This window comes from Homo sapiens, chromosome 6 (genome assembly GCF_000001405.40).
Source record: "Homo sapiens chromosome 6, GRCh38.p14 Primary Assembly".
Taxonomy (NCBI): Eukaryota; Metazoa; Chordata; class Mammalia; order Primates; family Hominidae; genus Homo; species Homo sapiens.
The window spans coordinates 35,360,005-35,380,179 of record NC_000006.12 but is presented as its reverse complement, the minus strand read 5'-3'; the positions used below and the strand labels follow the sequence as shown (position 1 = coordinate 35,380,179).

At 46.4% G+C, this 20,175-nt stretch overlaps 1 protein-coding gene across 30 annotated transcripts in view, besides 4 other annotated features; it reads right to left on the bottom strand.

Annotated features, from left to right (window-relative positions):
- The window catches only part of PPARD (peroxisome proliferator activated receptor delta), an 85,621-nt gene that overhangs the window by 47,999 nt on the left and 17,447 nt on the right, over nucleotides 1-20,175 (bottom strand). The window lies entirely within an intron of this gene.
- Nucleotides 8,862-9,121: an enhancer, noted in NCBI's record as "active region_24402". NCBI's record gives its function as "activates an Ori minimal core promoter by ATAC-STARR-seq in GM12878 lymphoblastoid cells {active_cell/tissue: GM12878}" and the evidence as "EXISTENCE:reporter gene assay evidence [ECO:0000049][PMID:35858748]".
- Nucleotides 9,461-9,540: an enhancer, noted in NCBI's record as "active region_24401". NCBI's record gives its function as "activates an Ori minimal core promoter by ATAC-STARR-seq in GM12878 lymphoblastoid cells {active_cell/tissue: GM12878}" and the evidence as "EXISTENCE:reporter gene assay evidence [ECO:0000049][PMID:35858748]".
- Nucleotides 9,571-9,820: an enhancer, noted in NCBI's record as "active region_24400". NCBI's record gives its function as "activates an Ori minimal core promoter by ATAC-STARR-seq in GM12878 lymphoblastoid cells {active_cell/tissue: GM12878}" and the evidence as "EXISTENCE:reporter gene assay evidence [ECO:0000049][PMID:35858748]".
- Nucleotides 18,756-19,652: an enhancer, noted in NCBI's record as "OCT4-NANOG-H3K27ac-H3K4me1 hESC enhancer chr6:35328305-35329201 (GRCh37/hg19 assembly coordinates)". NCBI's record gives its function as "activates a minimal SCP1, AML or CMV promoter by ChIP-STARR-seq in naive H9 embryonic stem cells {active_cell/tissue: H9 hESC(naive)}" and the evidence as "EXISTENCE:reporter gene assay evidence [ECO:0000049][PMID:30033119]".

The window sequence follows — 20,175 nt, the reverse complement described above, 5'->3', positions numbered from 1 at the left end:
TCAGAATCCCTATCCATCAATCCATCAATCCATCCATAAATGCTTCAGATCACAATTTGCTACATTTTCCTCTAATCTTCAGTAATAGATTCCAAGTCACACTCCCAGACATTCTGATTCAGCAATCACTTTGAGATACACTCTCCTAGAAAAATGGAAAATCAGATTCATTGAACAGGTAAAGAAACTATCTGAGACTCCACAGGACAAACCTTGATACCTCAAAAGCAGCAACTGCTGATGACGTGCCCCTAGAAGACCTTGGAGATTAGCAGATGACACTGCAAAGTTAATCTATCATAATTTGGAGAAATGGAAGAAAGGAAAAGTTCATAAAGACCAAGAGAGAGCACATTTGGGGCTATTCCTCAGAAACAGATAAAAGGTAGTCCTAGTTAATTCAGACCAGTCTGTAACAGTGCCAGCAAGTCATCTGAGAAAAAACAAACGAATAGTCCAAGCCTCAGAAAGAGAACAGCTCCTTTTGGGCAAAAGCACCAAGTTGTCAAAGGGACACACTTGCATGCAGTGGCATCAGACAGCATTACTGTTGGGCACCACTGGTTGCAGCTTTCTGTGTGCTAGGAATTCTCTCCAACTAGAGTGCAAGCTCTCCTCTCTAAGAAGAGGGACTTGTGGCATTACTATTTCCGTATCTTCAGCAATAGCACCCAGCACAGTACTGAACACATAGTTGCTTAATATATGACCACAGACTGAGAGCTGTCAAGAAAGAACTAATGGGATTCACGTGGGTTGGGCAAAGATGCCTACTGCAAGCCAGGCGCGGTGGCTCATGCCTGTAATACCAGCACTTTGGGAGGCTAAGGTGGGCAGACCACAAGGTCAGGAGTTCGAGACTAGCCTGGGCAACATGGTAAAACCCCATCTCTACTAAAAATACAAAAATTAGCCGAGCGTGGTGGCGGATGCCTGTAACCCCAGCTACTCGGGAGGCTGAGGCAGGAGAATCGCTTGAAACCAGGAGGCGTAGGTTGCAGTGAGCAGAGATTGAGCCATTGCACTCCAGCCTGGGCAACAAGAGTGAGACGCTATCTCAAAAAAGAAAAAAAAAAAAAAAAAGAAAGAAAAGACGCCTACTCCAAGCCCTAACCCTGTGCCCACCTCTGAGTTCAAGCTGATTCCTGAAATTCCAGCCAAGGGAATTGAGAGTTGGTGCTGTCATTGTTCATCACTCTCATGAGACTGTTATCTGATGGATAATCTGGGGATCTTTAAAGGTTCGATTGCCTTCTCTTCTGAGAATATTCCTATGATAGAGTCTCAAGAGTCCAGAGAATTCAGGCAAAGCTGAGGAGAATGACACAGGCCATTAAGCTCTGCCCCGGACCTATCTCATCTGCCCTTTTTAGTTGTTAAGTCGCAGTAGGGTAGAAATCTTAACGAGGTCAGAAGTGATGGGTGACACAGCTCTAAATGCCAGGTACTGAGTTTTCACATCCTGGTCTCCTCGGAGGCCCCGGGCATACAGAGTCACCTACTCCTAAAGCAACTGCGCCTTTCAGAAGTGCAGCCTTATTCTAAAATTAAAGATTCTCAGGGCCCACTAGGATTATAATTAGTTTGTATTCCTCCACCTGGCACTCAGAGACGCTGAGTTTGGGAAGGGAATGTGGGGCATGCATTCTTAAGTCTGGAAACCACTTTAATTTGCAAGATTTAGTGGCTTTTTCTGGCCACTGGCTTGTTTTAAGTCTCTGGCATCCTCAGCTAGACTAAGAATTGTTACCTTGTGTCCCAGCCATACTGATTCACATTTCCATCAACTTGGCACAAAATGTGCCAAAAAACAAGCTTTCCTGCTGTCATTCCCTGCCTCTGCGTCCCATACCACTCCCAGCACTTGCCTCTACTCAGCCAGAGAAATTCAATGCAATTAAACTACCAACACTGAATGCCCACCAAATGACAGGTAGAATGTAAGGAGTTTCAAGTACCAAGAAAAACAAGACCCTGCTCTCAAGGGGGTCAGAGTCGGCTGAAAAAAGGAGATACGTGGCCAGGCGCAGTAGCTCATGCCTGTAATCCCAGCACTTTGGGAGGCCGAGGCGGGCGGATCACAAAGTCAAGAGATGGAGACCATCCTGGCCAACAGGGTGAAACCCCGTCTCTACTAAAAATACAAAAATTAGCTGGGCATGGTGGTGCACGCCTGTAGTCCCAGCTACGTGGGAGGCTGAGGCAAGAGAATGGCCTGAACCCAGAAGGCAGAGGTTGCCGTGAGCCAAGATCGCACCACTGCACTCCAGCCTGGCGACAGAGCAACACTCTGTCTCAAAAAAAAAAAGATACGTAAACAAGCAGCGACCCACAGAGTGATAGTTACTACAGACAGAGACCCCAAGCTCTGAAGGAGTAAAGGCTGCTCTCCTGGGAGGGATCAAGGAGAGGAGGGGAGACAGGCAATTCCAGCAAAGGAATAAACAGTGCAATTGCGCAGAGGCCTGGCAGCCTCAACTGCTGGGGGCAGCAACCACAGAGGCAGCCAACAGGGATCAGGGTTACTGCATGCCGGACGCTGCCATTTTACAGATGAGAAAGCTGAGTTATGGAAGGGATAAGTAACTTGTCCAAAATCATACCTTATGAAAAGACAGGTTCCAAGCCAAACAGCTGGACCCTAAAACCTGTGCTTTTAAACATTACAGTACATGGTATGCAAATAGTTCAATTTGCTGAAGTGTAAAATTTAAGAGCTAAGTTTATGCAGGAGAGGTAGAATGGGCTGCATCATGAAAAGCTTCATATGACACGCTAAGCATTTGAACAAACTTTCAGTAGGATACGGGACTAAATTAACGTGAAAGAGCTTCCCCTTTCCACCACTATCACAGAAAAATACCAGATAAAATAAAACAAATGACGTCCGTAGACATGCAGCCAAATTGGAAAGAGAAATGCCTATGTGCGAGAAGAATTGAAACATAAACAGTGAGTGGAACTGACACCACAATGGCCTGTGGACTTTCGCACCCACAAATGAAGCGGTTTAAAGCCTGCCTGTGGCTTTGAGCCCCAGTATCAAGAAGAGAGCCTCAAAGGGCTGCCCAGTAAAGGAAAGCAACAAGAAGCTGAACACTTCTCCAAGGCTCTGTGGGTCAGGTATGGGTGGGAGGTCACCCTTTCTTTTTTTTTTTTTGAGACAGAGTCTCACTCTGTCGCCCGGGCTGCAGTGCAGTGGCGTGATCTCAGCTCACTGCAAGCTCTGCCTCCCGGGTTCATGCCATTCTCCTGCCTCAGCCTTCCCAGCAGCTGGGACTACAGGCACCCACCACCTCACCCGGCTAATTTTTTGTATTTTTAGTAGAGACGGGGTTTCACCGCGTTAGCCAGGATGGTCTCAATCTCCTGACCTCATGATCCCCCTGCCTCGGCCTCCCAAAGTGCTGGGATTACAGGTGTGAGCCACCATGCCCGGCGGGAGGTCACCCTTTCTTAAGCCACCAAGCTAGTCCTGCCCATGGATATAAAACTGAACTTACACTACTAGGGTAGTAAAGGGGTGCCGCACTAAGCAGTGAACAAAAACTGAGCCAGGACCACTGAAACACTCATGGCCCCGCCAGAGGCAAACAAGCTGCTCTGAGGTATACTTTCATAATTCAGGACCCAAGTCTCAGCCAGAAAAGAGAATCCCTCCTGGAGATGAACTCACACCCAAAGTTACAAACCACACAAGGAAATAAACCACCAAGAGGGGCAAGCCTCAGACACAAAAAGAGAAGTAGCATCCCAAGAATCAGAAATAAGACAGTCTCAAAGAAACTACACAAGAAAACTTGGATGATTAAACAGATAAAGGAACACAGAAAGAACAAATATAGAGACTTTGGTGGTAAAATGCTCAACAATATGTCTAAGAGGCATTCCAGAGGCCACTGTAGAGAAAACGAGAAAGCCAAAGAGGCAATGGCTGAAATTTTCCAGAACTTAAGAAAGAATTAAATGTAAGAGATTAACATTAGGGGAAGCTGGGTGAAGGAATACAGAAACTCTGTGTAAAGCTAAGTTTATCTACAATCATTTTAAAGTAAAAAGGCTTTTTCTTTGTTTTTTCTTTTATAAATGAGTCCTCAGATAAAAGCAGCACACCAAATCCTGAGCAAGAAGATGGAGAACAAATCCACACTTAATTTCAAATGATTCCAAACAAAAGCATATATACATATACAGAGAAATATATTAATTGAATAAGATTAAAGAGAATACTCATGTTCATTGTACTATTTCCTCTAATTTTAACATTTTTCTAAGTAAAAGGATGGGAGAAAAGATGAGAAAATGTTGGAGTAAGAACAGAAATAAAGGCCAGGTAAGGTGGCTCACACCTGTAATCCCAGCACTTTTGGAGGCCAAGGTGGGAGGAGGGCTTGAGTGAGGAGTTCAAGACGAGCCTGGGCAACACAGTAACATCCCATCTCTAGAAAACATTTTTTTTTAAATTATCTGAGCATGGTGGTGTGCACCTATAATCTCAGCTACTTAGGAGGCTGAGGTGGGAGGATTGCTTGAGCCCAGGAGGTCAAAGCTACAGTGAGCTGTGATCACACCACTGCACTTCAGCCTAGGCAAAAGAGCTAGACCCTGTCTCAAAAAAGAAAAAAACAACGGAAGTAAAATGTATAGAAATAAAGAAAATTCCGGGCCGGGAGCAGTGGCTCATGCCTGTAATCCCAGCACTTTGGGAGGCCGAGGTGGGTGGATCACCTGAGGTCAGGAGTTCAAGACCAGCCTGGCCAACATGGCGAAACCCTGTCTCTACTAAAAATACAAATTAGCCGCGTGTGGTGGCACGTGCCTGTAGTCCCAGCTACTTGGGAGGCTGAGGCAGGAGAATCACTTGAACCTGGGAGGCAGAGGTTGCGCTGAGCTGAGATTACACCACTGCACTCCAGCCTGGGTGACAGAGCAAGACTCCATCTCCAAAAAAAAAAAAAAAAAAAAAAAAACTCGGAAGGAGAAAAATAGGCAAAAATGGAAATACATGGAAAGTACTAAAAAATATAATACAGTAATACGTTAAGTTAAATCCCAAAAATGTACATAAATTACTTAAGACAGATTGTCAGATTTGATTTAAATCCAGCCACATTCTGTTTATGAAAGAAACTCCTAAACATCGTGACACAAAAAGGTTGAAGAGATGAGGCAGTAGCAACCCCAGGCAGCACTAGTGCCATCAGACCTCACGGCAAAAAACAGGAGTGACATTAGGGAGGAAGGACAAACAAGACTTGGTGGCTGATTAAAAGAGGCTGAGGAGAATAAAGAAATAGAGGGCAACTGTCAGGTGACCAGGGGGATGTGGATGATTCCATTAAGGTGGGGATTGTGGGAAGAAGAGCAAGTCTGGCAGGAAAATGTAAGAATCACTGGGGGAGTGCTGAGTTTTAGGAGCTCTGGAGACCCCTCAGTGAAGATGTCCCGTAAGTAGTTACAGAAAATTCTTACTACCACTATTAAAAATGTACATATTTTTCCTTTTCTTTTTTTTTTTTTTTGAGACAGAGTCTCGCTCTGTCGCCCAGGCTGGAGTGCAGGGGCGCGATCTCAGCTCACTGCAAGCTCTGTGTCCCGGGTTCACGCCATTCTCCTGCCTCAGCCTCCCGAGTAGCTGGGACTACAGGTGCCTGCCACCATGCCCGGCTAATTTTTTATATTTTTTAGTAGAGATGGGGTTTCACCGTGTTAGCCAGGATGGTCTCAATCTCCTGACCTTGTGATCCGCCCGCCTCGGCCTCCCAAAGTGCTGGGATTACAGGCATGAGCCACCGCGCCTGGCCCATATTTTTTACTTCTAAAACAAAACAAAAATCCAAAAAGCAATTGCCCACTAAACCCCCCCGCCCCACCGCCGAGAACTAACCATGACCTTAGCAATAAACCCATGTTTCCCATCTATGCCTGGTCCATCTAAGTTCTGCTCCTGCTGGGTGATGTGAAAAGTGGTGCCAGGCTCCAAGGTTTCTGGAGCCGGTTCAGGTCCCATGTACAGAGTGGAAAAGCTCTTTGGAGGCAGGAAACCCTGTGTCTGTGCAGCCATAGGAGAAACAGATTCACCAGCAGCAGAGGTCAGGAGCCAGAGGTTCACTACTGCCAGGTGGACCACTTTCACTGGCTGAATCCCAAGGTTCAATTCAAGTAATCAGTTACCCAGTGCCCAATCTTGACCTCAAGAAACATACAGTAGGCCAGGCGTGGTGGCTCACACTGCAATCCCAGTACTTTGGTAGGCTGAGATGGGTGGACTGCTTGAGCCCAGAAGTTCAAGACCAGCCTGAGCAACATGGTGAAATCCCATTTCTACAAAAAATACAAAAAAAATTAGCCAGGTGTGGTGGCACATGCCAGCAGTCCCAGCATCTTGGGAAGCTGAGGTGTGAGGATTGCTTGAGTTGGGGAGGTCAGGGCTGCTGTGAGCTGAGATTGCACCACTGCACTCCAGCCTGGATGACACAAGGAGACTTTGTCTCAAAAAAAAAAAAGAAAGAAAGAAACAAAGAAAGAAAGAAATGTACCGTAGAGTGAAGAACAGTCATAGTATAAGACAGACTATGGCAAACCCCACAAGAGACGTACCAACAGCTATGGAGTTCAAAGAACAGAAAGCTCCTCTGTGCAGTTTAGGGGTACAATCATGTTACAGAGGAGGCAACATTGGAAATGTTTTTTTCTCCATGTCCCCTTGTTACATAATTACAGGGGTACATTGATCCATGCAGCTGCGTGTCCAGTGGCTTGTGGCATCAAGGCACTTAACACTCTCCACAGCAGAAGCTGGTCTCTATAATAGCGATACCTAATAATTATTGTTTACAAAGAGTCAGGCATGTGTTCAATGTTTTATGGGCATTCTTTCATTTAATCATCCCGATTACTCTATAAGACATTGCTATGGTTTGAATGTTGTGAACCCTCCAAAATTCATGTTGAAACTTAATCCCCAATACAACGGTATTAAGAGGTGTGGCCTTTGGAGGTGTTTAGGTCATGAAGGCTCTGCCCTCAGGAACGGATTAGTGCTCTTATAAAAGGGCTCCAGGGAACTAGCTGGGCCACTTTCACCCTTCTGCCATGTAAGGACACAGCATTCATCCCCTCTGGAGGACACAGCAACAAGGTGCCATCTTGGAAGTGGACAGCAGCCTTCACCAGACATCAAGTCTGCCAATGCCTTGATCTTGAACTTCCCAGCCTCCAGAACTGTGAGAAATCAGTTTCTTTTGTTTATAAATTACCCATCTCAGGAATTTTGTTATAGCAGCACAGACTAAGACAGGTATGAACCATTGTTATTCCCAATTTACAGATGAGAAAACTGAGACCCAGAGATGCAAAGAAAAGTTTCCCAAGGTCACTGAGATAGGGTCATAGAGCCTGAATCTGAACCCAGGTCTAACTCCAGAGCACATGCTCTTACCCACTTTGTCATCTATCTCATATAGGCATAATTCCACATGCCCTCCTAGACCTGTAGCTCTGTAATCCATTGTCTTAGCCCTCACCATGCCCAGCTCCAGGACAAACTGTGGAGAGACAAAGACAACTGTGGCAGAATGACATACAAGTAGGCTGGATTTAAGTCACAGCTCTTACACTCATCCAAGCTTGGGATCCTCCAAGTATAGGTTGAGCGATTTGGCTAGCCACAGCATCTCTCTGGTTATAAAGCTCAGAGTGGGCTGGACGTGGTGGCTCACACCTGTAATCCCAGCACTTTGGGAAGCCAAGGTGGGCAGATCACCTGAGGTCAGGAGTTCAAGACTAACCTGGCCAACATGGTGAAACCCCGTCTCTACTAAAAAATACAAAAACTTGCCGGGCATGGTGGCGGGAGCCTGTAAACCCAGCTACTCGGGAGGCTGAAGCAGGAGAATGGCTTGAACCTGGGAGGTGGAGGTTGCAGTGAACCGAGATCATGCCACTCCACTCCAGCCTAGGCAACAGAGCGAGACTCCGTCTCAAAAAATAAAAATAAATAAAAATAAAGCTCAGAGTGTCAGGCACAGTGCTAGACACTATGCAATCTAATTCTCACAACAATCCATTAGCTCCATTTTCCAGAAGAGGAAACTGAAGCCCAGAAAGGTTACAATCTGTCAAAGGCCCTTGGCTAATAAATGACAGAACCAGGATTCAAACCCAGACCCACCTTAGAAACCACACTTGTAGCTGCTGTGCACACAACCTAGCAAGTCTGACCTAGGAGTTAGTGGAAAGGGCAGGCAGTGAACTTTGCCTTTGGACTAGGGGAGCTCAAACAGAGTAATAAATATGTAATCACTGTGTGGACTAGAAGTACAGTCACTATTTCAAGCCAGAGACCAACAAGGCCAGGCCCAGAGAGGAGGTCAATGAGCACAGGTTCATGTACGTCTGCAGCATAGGAAAGAATCTCTGCAATGAGTTTTTTTCCAAACAAGGTGGTCATGTTCACAGGTTCTAGGGGTTAGGACTTGGACATATCTTTTGGAGGGGCAACCATCCAACTCACTACAGGCAGGAAAATCAGTGGGGAGAAACACTCAAAAGAACGGGAGGAACGACCTGTGCATGGCAGAGGAATGAGGTTTAAAGCTGTCAGTAAGGCTCCGGGAAACTGAGAGAATGACGGATTATTAACAGAAAGGGGATATGCAAAGAGCAGAGACAAAGATGGACTCTGCTTTTAAGGCTGCACACTCCAGCAGGCAGGTGGACACAGGGACCTGGTTTTCAGGAGAAAAGAACTTTAGTATTTGGTAGCTATAAGAGCAGATGGTCACAGCCACAGGAAGGGACAAGCGCGTGGAGGGAGAGGAGAGAGGGCAGAAGCCTGAAGAATGTTGACACTCAGGCAGCGGAAAGAGGAAGAGGAACCAGGGCAGCAAAGGCGCAGTCAGAGAGGAAGGGAAACAGAGGCCATGGGAGAACAGACATTTACCCTCCTAGGGGGCAGGGTCCAGTCTCTTTCTTCTGCATCATTCCCGAGTCTAACAAGGTACTAGGCATAGAGTAGGCACTTGGCAACCGCTGAAGTAATAATAAAAAGCAATTATGTGAGAGAGACCAACATGTGAGTGATTTCTAAGATGCAAAGAAAAGAAGGTAAAGGCATCTGTAATGCTTGAGAGCTTGGCCAAGTTACATGAGGCAGCATCTTCTGAGAGGGTGTGGGGTGAGTAGGGGAAGGCCTGGAAGAAACCCCAAGGGAAATGTGATGGGAAAACCACGAGAAGAAGAAAAGAATGAGCAGCCAGCTGCTGGAGAAGGTGAATTCTGGGGCCTTAACTGCCCCACCATGGGGCTCGTGTGAGCTCCCTGCTACACACAAGAGCTGCCTTGCCATCTAGCCGCTCTTTTTTTTTCCAATCCCAACCATCCATTCCACATATTTATCTAAAAAGCAGTTACCACAACTCATCTTGGGGAGAAGAACTGCTGTGAAACCCATGAGCGAGAGGCTGCTGCTGTGACCTGGGAAGACCTGCCCTGCATCCCTGGCAAGTTCTCTGGGGTGACTCTTCACCATGGGCGGGTAGCAGGCTTTTCCAGACAGGAAGTGTGTGGAGAGGAGCAGGGACTGTGGCCAGTGGGTGACTCATGAAGCGTTTACCAGCCATGTGGGTGCCCACCACCCTCAGATGGGGGCAGACTGGGCCAGTTGCATCAGACTTCCTGGAAGCATTTCTTCATTTCTATTTTTGAAGACACTGAACTTCCAGAGTGACATCTCTCCTGACGACTTCAAAAGGCACTCCAATCAGCAGCCATAACCAGTATCTTCTTACACATACTTTATCCACCCAACTCTACTCACTCCCCAACATGCCTGCACACAATAGAGGAAGTGGCCAGACAACACGATGCAGCCTTTCTAAGGGCAACAGGAAACGATACAATACCACGGAGCCACAATGAGGACCCGGGCAGCTAGAGCTCCCACACACCACCATCTTTCCCAACAGCCAGACCCTTCCTGGCCCACAGACAGGGTCAGGACACAGACAGCATCAATTCCCAAACTAACTGGTTGACAGGTCAGAGAATATCATCATTCAAAAGATCACAGGACTTCCTGTACAAATTAACCCAGATTCAAAGGAACAGGGAGTCAGGTACCCTTATACTGCAGTGAGAGGGTAAATTAGTACAACTTTCTAGAATTTGGCAATATGGCAACATTTATTAATATCCTTACATTTTGATTCATTCAAAATTTGCACATATACACACATACACATCCTTTAAAAACTGAATACCTACCAAGTGCCAGGAACTATGCCAAGTAGTAGGGGAGACAGAGAAGGTGACTGTTCTCAAAGAGCTTTTGTTCTAGTCACAGATTCGGACAATTAACCAATAAATCAACAAAATAATTTCTGAGTGCAGAGAGCACTGGCTATAAGAGCAAAAGATGAGAAATAACCTAAACGTCTGTTGGCAGGACTGATTAAATAAGATTAGATATTCTCATAAGAATGAATACCGCTCTGCTATTAAAAGTGCATTCTTGAAAACTATATTCAAATTGCTAGGATATAAATGTTTAAAGCAGGTTTCAAAACAGTACCATGATTATGTCCAGTGACAGAAGCCAATCACAAAAGATCACATATTGTATGATCCCATTTATATGAAATGTCCAGAACAGGTAAATCTGTACGTAGAGAAAGCAGATGAGTGGTAGTCTTGGGCTGGAGTAAGGGCGGGATGGGGCATCGAGGCGGGAATGCACGCTAATGGATTATAAGATGTCTTTTTGGGACTAAGAAAATGTTCTAAAACTAGATTGTGGTGATGGTTGTACAACTCTGTAAATACTAAAAACCATCAAATTGCACACTGTCAACAGGTGGACTTTATGACTTACATCTCAACAAAACTGCTAAAAAGTAACATTCAATATGACTTCAATATGGTTTTCAAAAAGAGGGGGTGTGAAGGGTCATGAGGGGAAGGATGAATAGCCATTCAAAACATTAACCGTGGAAATTCTCTGAGAGGAAAGTTCTAGGTAATTTTATGGTCTTCCTTATATTTATCTTTATTTTCCAAATATTCTAAAATATAGAAGTTTATTTAACTGGCAAACCAAATTATCCAGGGTTTTAAAATCTACTTTTCCAAGTGTACCTTAAGTATGTCCAAGGCACAAGACTAGAAAGGTCCAACTGCTGTGCTAACCTAGGTATCTCTAGGGTTGTCATATTCTTCACACCAAAGATACCAACCAGACAGCCAAGCAAAGGAATTTCATATTTCAAATAAATCAGACCAAGTAGCTCCTGGTTAGGGAGTGTCTGCTGACTGCTGGAAGAGCTTGCTACTCTCTGCAAACACTTTCAAAGAAAAACACCCAGAGGCCACCATAAAGCTCAGATACTATCAAAGCATGCAAAACAACATCAAAGATTTGAGCAGATTCAAATAGAAACTTCCTGGACACTTTCAGGAGTCACTTCCTGGTTGTGAAGTGTGAGGCCCTCTGGACAAATCATTCTCTCCCATGTGGCCTCCTCTGATCAGTGACTTCAAAGGCATCTTTCTGAAATGACTGGGCTGAGGGAGGGTGCCAGCCTCTGGAAGTCATTGGTTTCCCAACCAGGCTGTACTCCCAAATCAATGGGGAGCTTTAAAGGCAGGTTCCTGGACGCCATCCCTGGGAATTCTAATTCAATAGGCATGAGGAAGGCCCAGGAATCTACATTTTCCCCAAAACTCCCTGGTGAATATGCCAGTTGAGTCAAGTATGGGACTCACTGGGCTGGATACCATCTGGGATAACTCAAAATAGGGCTAGCCTCCACATCTGGCTACAATGCAGCAGGAATCCCACCCAGTGAGCACTGTGCATCAAAAGGCCACTAAGCGCAGAAAGGGAAACTCCACAGGGAAATTCCATGCATGTCTGGCTATCACTGCTGAAGCTTGGGGGAAGCTAGCAAATCCCTAGAGCAAACCTATTTTGGAAGGTTCCCTAAGACACAGTGATCTTGGATGCTCATCTGTGAAAAGGGGGATGACTAGTACAACTTCCACTGTGGGAGACCACAAGAAAAATCAGCCCTCTCCAACCACACAAAAGAGCCAGCAAGCTTTGCAACTCCCAAGGAACCAGAAGCAGAAAGGGATGCAGTATGGCATGACAGACTGTGAGTCTGAGTCACACAGATCTGGGTTCAAATCCAGGTATCCACTACCGGCTGTCTGTGGATTAAATATGGCTACAAACCTTTTGCCACTCTTTCCATCAAGAGGTGGCGTCTAGTTCCCAACCTGGAATCTGGGCTGGCCCAGTGACAGCTCTGACCAATAGAACATGATTGAGGTGATGTTCTGGGACGTGAGCCCAGGCCTCAACACGACTGGCTTCCACTGTCTTGGCCCCCAGATGCCATGCTGCAAGAAGTTCAGGATAGACTCTTGAAGGATTAGAGGCCATGCAAAGAGAAGCTGCCTTGGACATTACAGTGCAGCTAAACACAGACAAATGGGCAAGCTTGGCCGACATCATGTGGGGCAGAACCAAGCATCTGGACCCAATTCACACAATCAAGAGAAAGGATAAATGGTGGTTGTTTTAAACTACTGAGTTTCACAGGTGATTTGTTACACAGCAGTAGGTAACTGAAACACTGTTTCTCCTTGAGCAAATGGATTTTTCTGAGCCTTAGTTTCCTCATCAATCAGATAGGGAATGATGATAACCTGAATAGGGTTGTGTGAGTTTCAACAGAAGTGAACGGGCTGTGAAAGTCTGAAGCGCAGGCCAGTGCCAGTTACCATCACTATCTGCGCAAACCCAATGTTCAAACCACCACCACACCACCATATCCTTTTTCCACATTTAGAGTCTTTTTGGGCCAAGGGTACCTCTTCATACACAAAGCACAGGAACTATTTATACTCGCCCTATAATTGGGAAGGACCCTGCCAACAAATGCCCCATGTTCCCAAATCACTCACCTTCTCCCATCACATCAGTGTTCCCTCCGGCCTCTCTTCTTCCTGTTACAGTGTTATCTTTGCCCCAGCCATCCAGGTTCAAAGAATCAACCTCTTACACTCCTCCATTTCCTTTTAGCATCCAGGGAACGGACAAAACCTCACCTCCCCAGTCACCCCCACCTTTCCACTTCCAGTGCCATCAAGGCACGGTCATCAAAGCCAGGCAGGTCTGAGTGCTGCTCTGCAACTTACTACCTTTATGACCATACGCAAGTCATAAGTCTGGCCATACGCAAGACCATATGCATATTAATCAGTAATACCTTCTTTTTGTGGTCATTTCGAAGAAAGAATATGCAGCTAAAGTATTTAATACAGAGGCCGGATGCAGCGGCTCACGCCCATAATCCCAGCACTTTGGGAGGCCAAAGTGGGTGGATTACTTGAGGCCAGGAGTTCAAGACCAGCCTGGCCAACACCGTGAAACCCCATTTCTACTAAAAATAGAAAAATTAGCCAGGCATGGTGGTACACGCCTGTAGTCACAGCCACTAAGGAGGCTGAGGCACTAGAATTGCTTGAACCCGGGAGGCAGAGGTTGCAGTGAGCCGAGATCATGCCACTGCACTCCAGCCTGGGTGACAGAGTGAGATTGTCTTAAAAAAAAAAAAAAGTATTTAGTACTACAGGCCAGGAATTTCTCACCTGTACTACTATAGCCATCTCCTAATCTAGGCCTCTGCCTGTGTATCTCTCTCCATTTTGACCCCTCTAGCATAAATGCTATCAGATTAATTGTCCTGTATAGCAACTATCACATTATTCTCCTGCTCAAAGACCTTCCATGGCTCACACTGTTCTCAGATCAATCTCTGACAACCTCTCAGCTAAGTATGTAAGATTGTCCACAATCATGGCTCCATCTGTTGCCTTGGCCAATCCTATCCTTACTGCAACTTGCTATTAGAGTCAGCCTTCTAAAATGGCTGGCAACAATCCTCACCTTCTGGTATTCACATATTTGTGTAAATCTCTCCTAACCCATAGAAACTGCGAGATAGTGTTTTAAGCTACTAAGTTTTGGGGTAATTTGTTATGCAGGAATAGATAACTAATACTCTTCATTTCCCCTGTCACACCTGAGCTGTTGTTCTTTTCTTCAGTCATATTTGCCCTTCCTACAACATCTCAGCCTGCTGAAATTCTGCCAGGCCTGCAAGGCCCACTCAGATACCAGCGCTCACTCACCCTGAGCCTTTCTTAACTATCCTCTGGAAGCCTTCCCTAGTTCCCCAGTGTCTATCTCCATTACTGCACCTATCACACAGAAGCATTGTCAATCTGTTTATCTGTGTGTAAAATGACAAGGTTATTCATTGCCAAAAAAGACTAGAAGTCACCTGCACATTCATCAATGAATAAGAGAATGGCACATCCAGGCCGTGCATGGTGACTCACGCCTGTAATCCTAGCACTTTGGGAGGCCGAGATGAGCAAATCATTTGAGATCAGGAGTTCAGGACCAGCCTGGCCAACAAAGTGAAACCCTGTCTCTACTAAAAATACAAAAATCAGCTGGGCATGATGGCACATGCCTGTAATCCCAGCTACTCAGGAGGCTGAGGCGGGAGAATCGCTTGACCCAGGAGGCAGAGGTTGCAGTAAGCCGAGATCATGCCACTGCACTCCAGCCTGGGTGACAGAGCAAAAATCTGTCTAAAAAAAAAAAAGAAGAGACTGGCACATCCATACAATGGATGAGCCAACTGTTAAAAAAAAAAGAATGAGGGGCTGGGCGTGGTGGCTCACACCTGTAATCCCAGGACTTTGGGAGGCCGAGGCGGGCGGATCATGAGGTCAGGAGATCGAGACCTTCCTGGCTAACACGGTGAAACCCTGTCTCTACTAAAAATACACACACACACAAAAATTAGCTGGGTGTGGTGGCAAGCACCTGTATTCCCAGCTACTCGGGAGGCTGAGGCAGGAGAATGGTGTGAACCAGGAGGTGGAGCTTGCAGTGAGCTGAGATCGCGCCACTGCACTCCAGCCTGGGTGACAGAGCGAGACTCCATCTCAAAAAAAAAAAAAAAAAAAAGAATAAGGAAGCTCTACATGTCTGGTATGCAAAGATGGCCAAGATATAATAAGTGAAGCAAGGTGCAGACCAGTGAGTATAGCAGACAGGTATCAGGTATCTGCCTAACGAGTAACACTTGGGGCCGGGCGCGGTGGCTCACGCCTGTAATCCCACCACTTTGGGAGGCCGAGGCGGGTGGATCACAAGGTCAGGAGATCGAGACCATCCTGGCTAACACAGTGAAACCCCGTCTCTACTAAAAATACAAAAAATTAGCTGGGCATGGTGGCATGCGCCTGTAGTCCCAGCTACTCGGGAGGCTGAGGCAGAAGAATCACTTGAACCCAGGAGGTGGAGGTTGCAGTGAGGCGAAATCGCGCCACTGCACTCCAGACAGAGTGAGACCCCGTCTCAAAAAAAAAAACAAACAAAAAACAAAGAGTAACACTTGGGAGGCCAAGGCGGGGAGATTGCCTGAGGTCAGGAGTTTGAGACCAGTCTGGCCAACACGGTGAAACCTCGTCTCTACTAAAAATACAAAAAAAAAATTAGCCAGGCGTGGTGGCATGCACCTGTAATCCCAGCTACTCAGGTGGCTGAGGCAGGGAAATTGCTTGAACCAGGGAGGTTCAGGTTGCAGTGAGCCAAGATCGTGCCACTGCACTCCAGCCTGGGCAACAGAGCAAGATGCCGTCTCAAAAAAAAAAAAAAAAAAAAGTTAAACATGGAATACTATATGACCCAGCAATTTCACTAAGTATATTCCCAAGAGAACCTAAAGCATATGTCCACACAAAAGCTTGTACATGAATGTTCACAGCAGTCAAAAAATGGAAACAACCCAAATGTCCACCAATTTACCAATAAATAAAATGGAATATATACACACAATGGAATACTCAGCCACAAAAAGGAATACAGTACTATTATATGCTACAACATGGATGAACCTCGAAAACATGCTAAGTGAAATTGTTCAGACACAAAAGGCTACATATTATATAATTCCATTCATATGAAATGTCCAGGATAGGGAAAGCCATAGAGAAGGGAAGTAGATTAGCAGCCAAGGGATGGAGTAACTGCTGACAGGTAAAGGGTTTTTTAGGTGATAGAAGTGTCCTGGAATTAGTGGTTAATAGAACACAGTTAATATAATATATAAACAACACAGCTAAAATAATATATAAAACCGTTAATATAATATATAAATATATTAATTTAATATAATATATAAAACACAGTTAATATACAAAAACCATCAAAGTACACACTTTAAAGTGGTGAATTTGGTTATGTGAACTATATCTTAATTTTATGCTATAAAAATATGTAGAATATAAAATAAAATAAACTGCTCACATTCTGCCTGTGGCTCAGGCATCAGTCACCCTGTCCATGCCCTCCAGCCCCAAAAGGCTGCCTGTCTCCCCCATTTTTGTGTCCCCTGGCACTTTCTAGCTGCTCACTCGCCCTTCATCTCCCCCGTGACTTCCCACTTTCTGACTCTTGGGCAAGGCCTGGCCCCCGCCTCACTGGATCCACCCTTTCCTGGTGGGTCCACACCACCTACTCAGACCTACTGGAGAGCGTCTGGAGGCTGAGGCACCAGCCCCAGAAGTCACCCCAGATGAGCCGTCCAATGGCCAGGGCTGTAGTTACAAGCGTGTGTCAGCTGAGGGATACAGTTTCACATGGGAACTTAATTATAGCTTGGGAGTGGTGAAGGGAGAGGCGGTGGCGCAGGCTTTGAGGGGACGTACAGGAAGCCAGTGGGTCTCACCAGGCCTGGGATCACAGCAGAACAGATATGATCCAGGCAGGCCCACAGGAACGCACAGCCTATGGAAATCAGCCTGCTTTTAAGCATGAATTCCTAGCCCAACCTGTGTGCAGGCCAAAGTGGCCCAGAAAAGACCTGAGAAGCCACTGACCCTCAGTGCTCAGAAAGGCCTTCTCCTTGCCTACTGCCAGAGACCCCATTTTATTCTGTAAGAAGTGACAGGAAGGCATAGCTTGTTCCCCACAAAATACCCCATCTTCAATTTTCTCCCTTGCTTTGAGATGCGTTTCTGGAACGGAATCTGAGTTACTGATGCATGGAACATCTTCCTCTATGCTCGGATCCCTGCCTACTGCCCAGGGAGATGCCAAGAAGCTGTGCAGCTGCTGCCACACAGGTGTCAGTAGAGCACAGTAGCCAGATATACCAGATGTGTCAAACTACTGGGGCTGGGCACTGCCAGGTGAGGGAAGCAGATCAGGCAGAAAAAGAGAGAATCTCTGGAAAGATCATGGAAAGAGTGGGGCCAGGGTGGAGGAGCAGGTGCCACTGAGACACATTTTCTTCTCCCCTATGTCTGGCCCCTATCTGGGCCCCTTATTCTCCAGGCGTCTTCCTGGCCAGCTTGCTTGCTGTTTCAGAGAGGTCCCTGCAGTCACCTGCTGCCTACCCCGCCCCAACCCATCACCCACGCAGCTTCTTCTCACTGACTCAAGACAGCACCAGGGACCCAGGCCCTCCTCTCAGTTGCTCTTCCCAAGACCCCCACCCCCAGCCCTGGCATTACCCTTCCTATATACTGTCTGTGCATCTTTTTTTCTAAACTCCTGAGAGATTCATCCCTAAAAGCCATAGAAAGAAACCTTCAGACTGGAGGTGGTATCCTTTTCTGGATTTGTATGGAAGGAAAAAAAAAAAAGGCAGGAGTGGTGAGTAGGCAGAGCAGATGGGGCGCTGGACAGGGACAGGGAGAGACACAGATGGGGAGAGGCAGAGTAAGACTTCATGCACCTCTCTACCCTCTGCAAGTCTGGCAATAACATCAAGGAACAACCAGACAGTTCTTCCCAAGTGCCTCCCTCCAGGCCAAATGCCTTTCCCACAAATGGGAGAGGAGGTCGGAGGACAAGCAGACACCACAAAACCACCTGAAAAATGGGAAAGGCAAGTCACAAAACTAAATGTTAAACAGCATCCCATTTCGAAAGACAGAAAAAATAACTAGGTATACACAATTTGAAAAGAACCTAGGTAAGAAAAAAAAATCATATATCAAAGCAGCCACTTATGTGTGATAATATATTACTTTTTTCTCCTCAGTGCTTATCTGTATTTTCTAATCATCTATAACGAATGAGCATTATTTATATAACTAAAACATTTTTAACTAAATTAAAAATGCCATTGGTGGCATCTGATTAATTTCAAAGCTCCCAAATACAGTTTCCTAAAGGTGTCATCCACTGTTTATTACTAGTCAGATAAACAGCTTGCAAGTGGCAGGCCCTTCCTCCATCACCTCGTGCCCAACACCCAGAACCACCTGTCCCCATGGGACACAGACCCCTACCACTCCAGAGCTCATATCCAAAAGCCAGACCCTCAGCAAGGTGTAAAACTAAACATAAGGTTTGGTGGTTACAGGCATCCTTAGGCCAGAAGATTCCTCGCTGCACTGCCCTGCCTTTTCCAGGGCCCAGGCAGGGGCTGGCAGGAGCACACTCCAGGCTGCTGTCACTGGGAAGTACCCTGTGGGGCTCCACAAACAATCACTGGACTCAGGTTAATACCTACGCAGGCCAATGTTCAGATGAAGAGGACGACAAAAATAACATTAAAGTTATTTTTCTTTTTTTATTATTATTTTATTTTTTTAAATAAATAGACACTGGGTCTCACTACGTTGCCCAGGTTGATCTCAAATGCCTGACCTCAGGTGACCCTCCCACCTTGGCCTCCCAAAGTGCTGGTATTACAGGTGTGAGCCACCATGCCCAGCTGCCTTGAAGTTCTGTTTGGTCTAACCAATAATGACTGGCATCCACCTATGGTGCTGGGTGCTGAGGGTCTAAAGACACTAATGAAACAATCATCATTCAGTGAGTGCCTCCTCTGTGCCTTTACATGTATGAGCTCATTTAATCCCCAGAGGTGGAGGGTCTACAGTTATCACCCCCATGCCACACAGAGTCTGGCTCTTAAGCACTACCCCATATTCCCTAGAAGTCCGTAACCTAACCCTGAGAAACAGGCAGTGAGCTACTCCCTTCTCTGTTCCAGGAGGAAGCTCATCCCCCTCTGAGAAGCCAAAGAAATGAGAAGTGTGGCTGTTTCTCTGTCTCGCCTGCCCTCCCAGCCTCTAGCTACCCGAGCTCTATGATCCCTGGGGCCTACAGCTGGCCTGAGGAGGAGCCAGCAGGGCAGGCAGATGGGCACAGTTCCCAGAGACCAGCCAAGGCCACCAGTGAGATGCCATCTATGCCTGCCTCTTCTGATTTCTAGCGCCATCCCTGCACCCCAGCCCCTGCATCCAAGCCAAGAAATGGGAACAGAAATAGAAAAGGCTCTCTAAAAATAAATCGGGGATGGCAAGGTGCAAGAAAAGAGAAAAATATAATGCCACTGCTGGTTTGGGTATAGTGAGTCCTGCTAGCTTAGGCAGGGCCCATGTTGAGAGGGCAAGTACCAAGAGCCCTGGCTCCCTTTCAGCCTCTGCTCACAAGCCTGTGGATGCAACACTTGCATAACTATTTGCACATACCTGGAGAGCCCATGCTGAGGTGACATCAGCAAGAACAGCAGGGCTACTGAACTGAGAAGAACAGGGCTCAAATTCCAATTCCACCACTTGTTAGCTGTTTGACTTGGGCGAGTTAACCTCTCTGATCCTACACCTTGTCTGTAAAATGAGACTACCACTACACACCTCTTGCAGGCTGGTGTAAAAGGAAGGTGATCTCATCCGTGGGGTAACGACTGGCCTAAGGGAGAACATGAATAAAGGCAATTTCCCTCCCTTATTTCTCTCCCTATGTGCACATCTGGGCCAACTTTTCTCTTTTCACTTCACCAGACTGAAGCTGTTGATTAATCACAGCAGAGATTTTTTTTTTCTCTTAAGAGTTCCTTCCACCCTACAGGCCGGGCCCACAGCTTGGCTGGCCAGTCTCTTGTGGTTCTAGGGGCTGCTCACTGTCTTGGAGCAGATCCAGGGAGCCAGTATGCACGACTATTCTCAGGGCCTCCTCTGTCCACTGACCTGGAATGAGACTCTGCAGGAGGCCCCAAGGCCTGCCAAAATTTTGCCTCTTCTCAGTGACCAACAAGAGACTGCTATTTTCTGAAGCCAACAGCAGTCTGG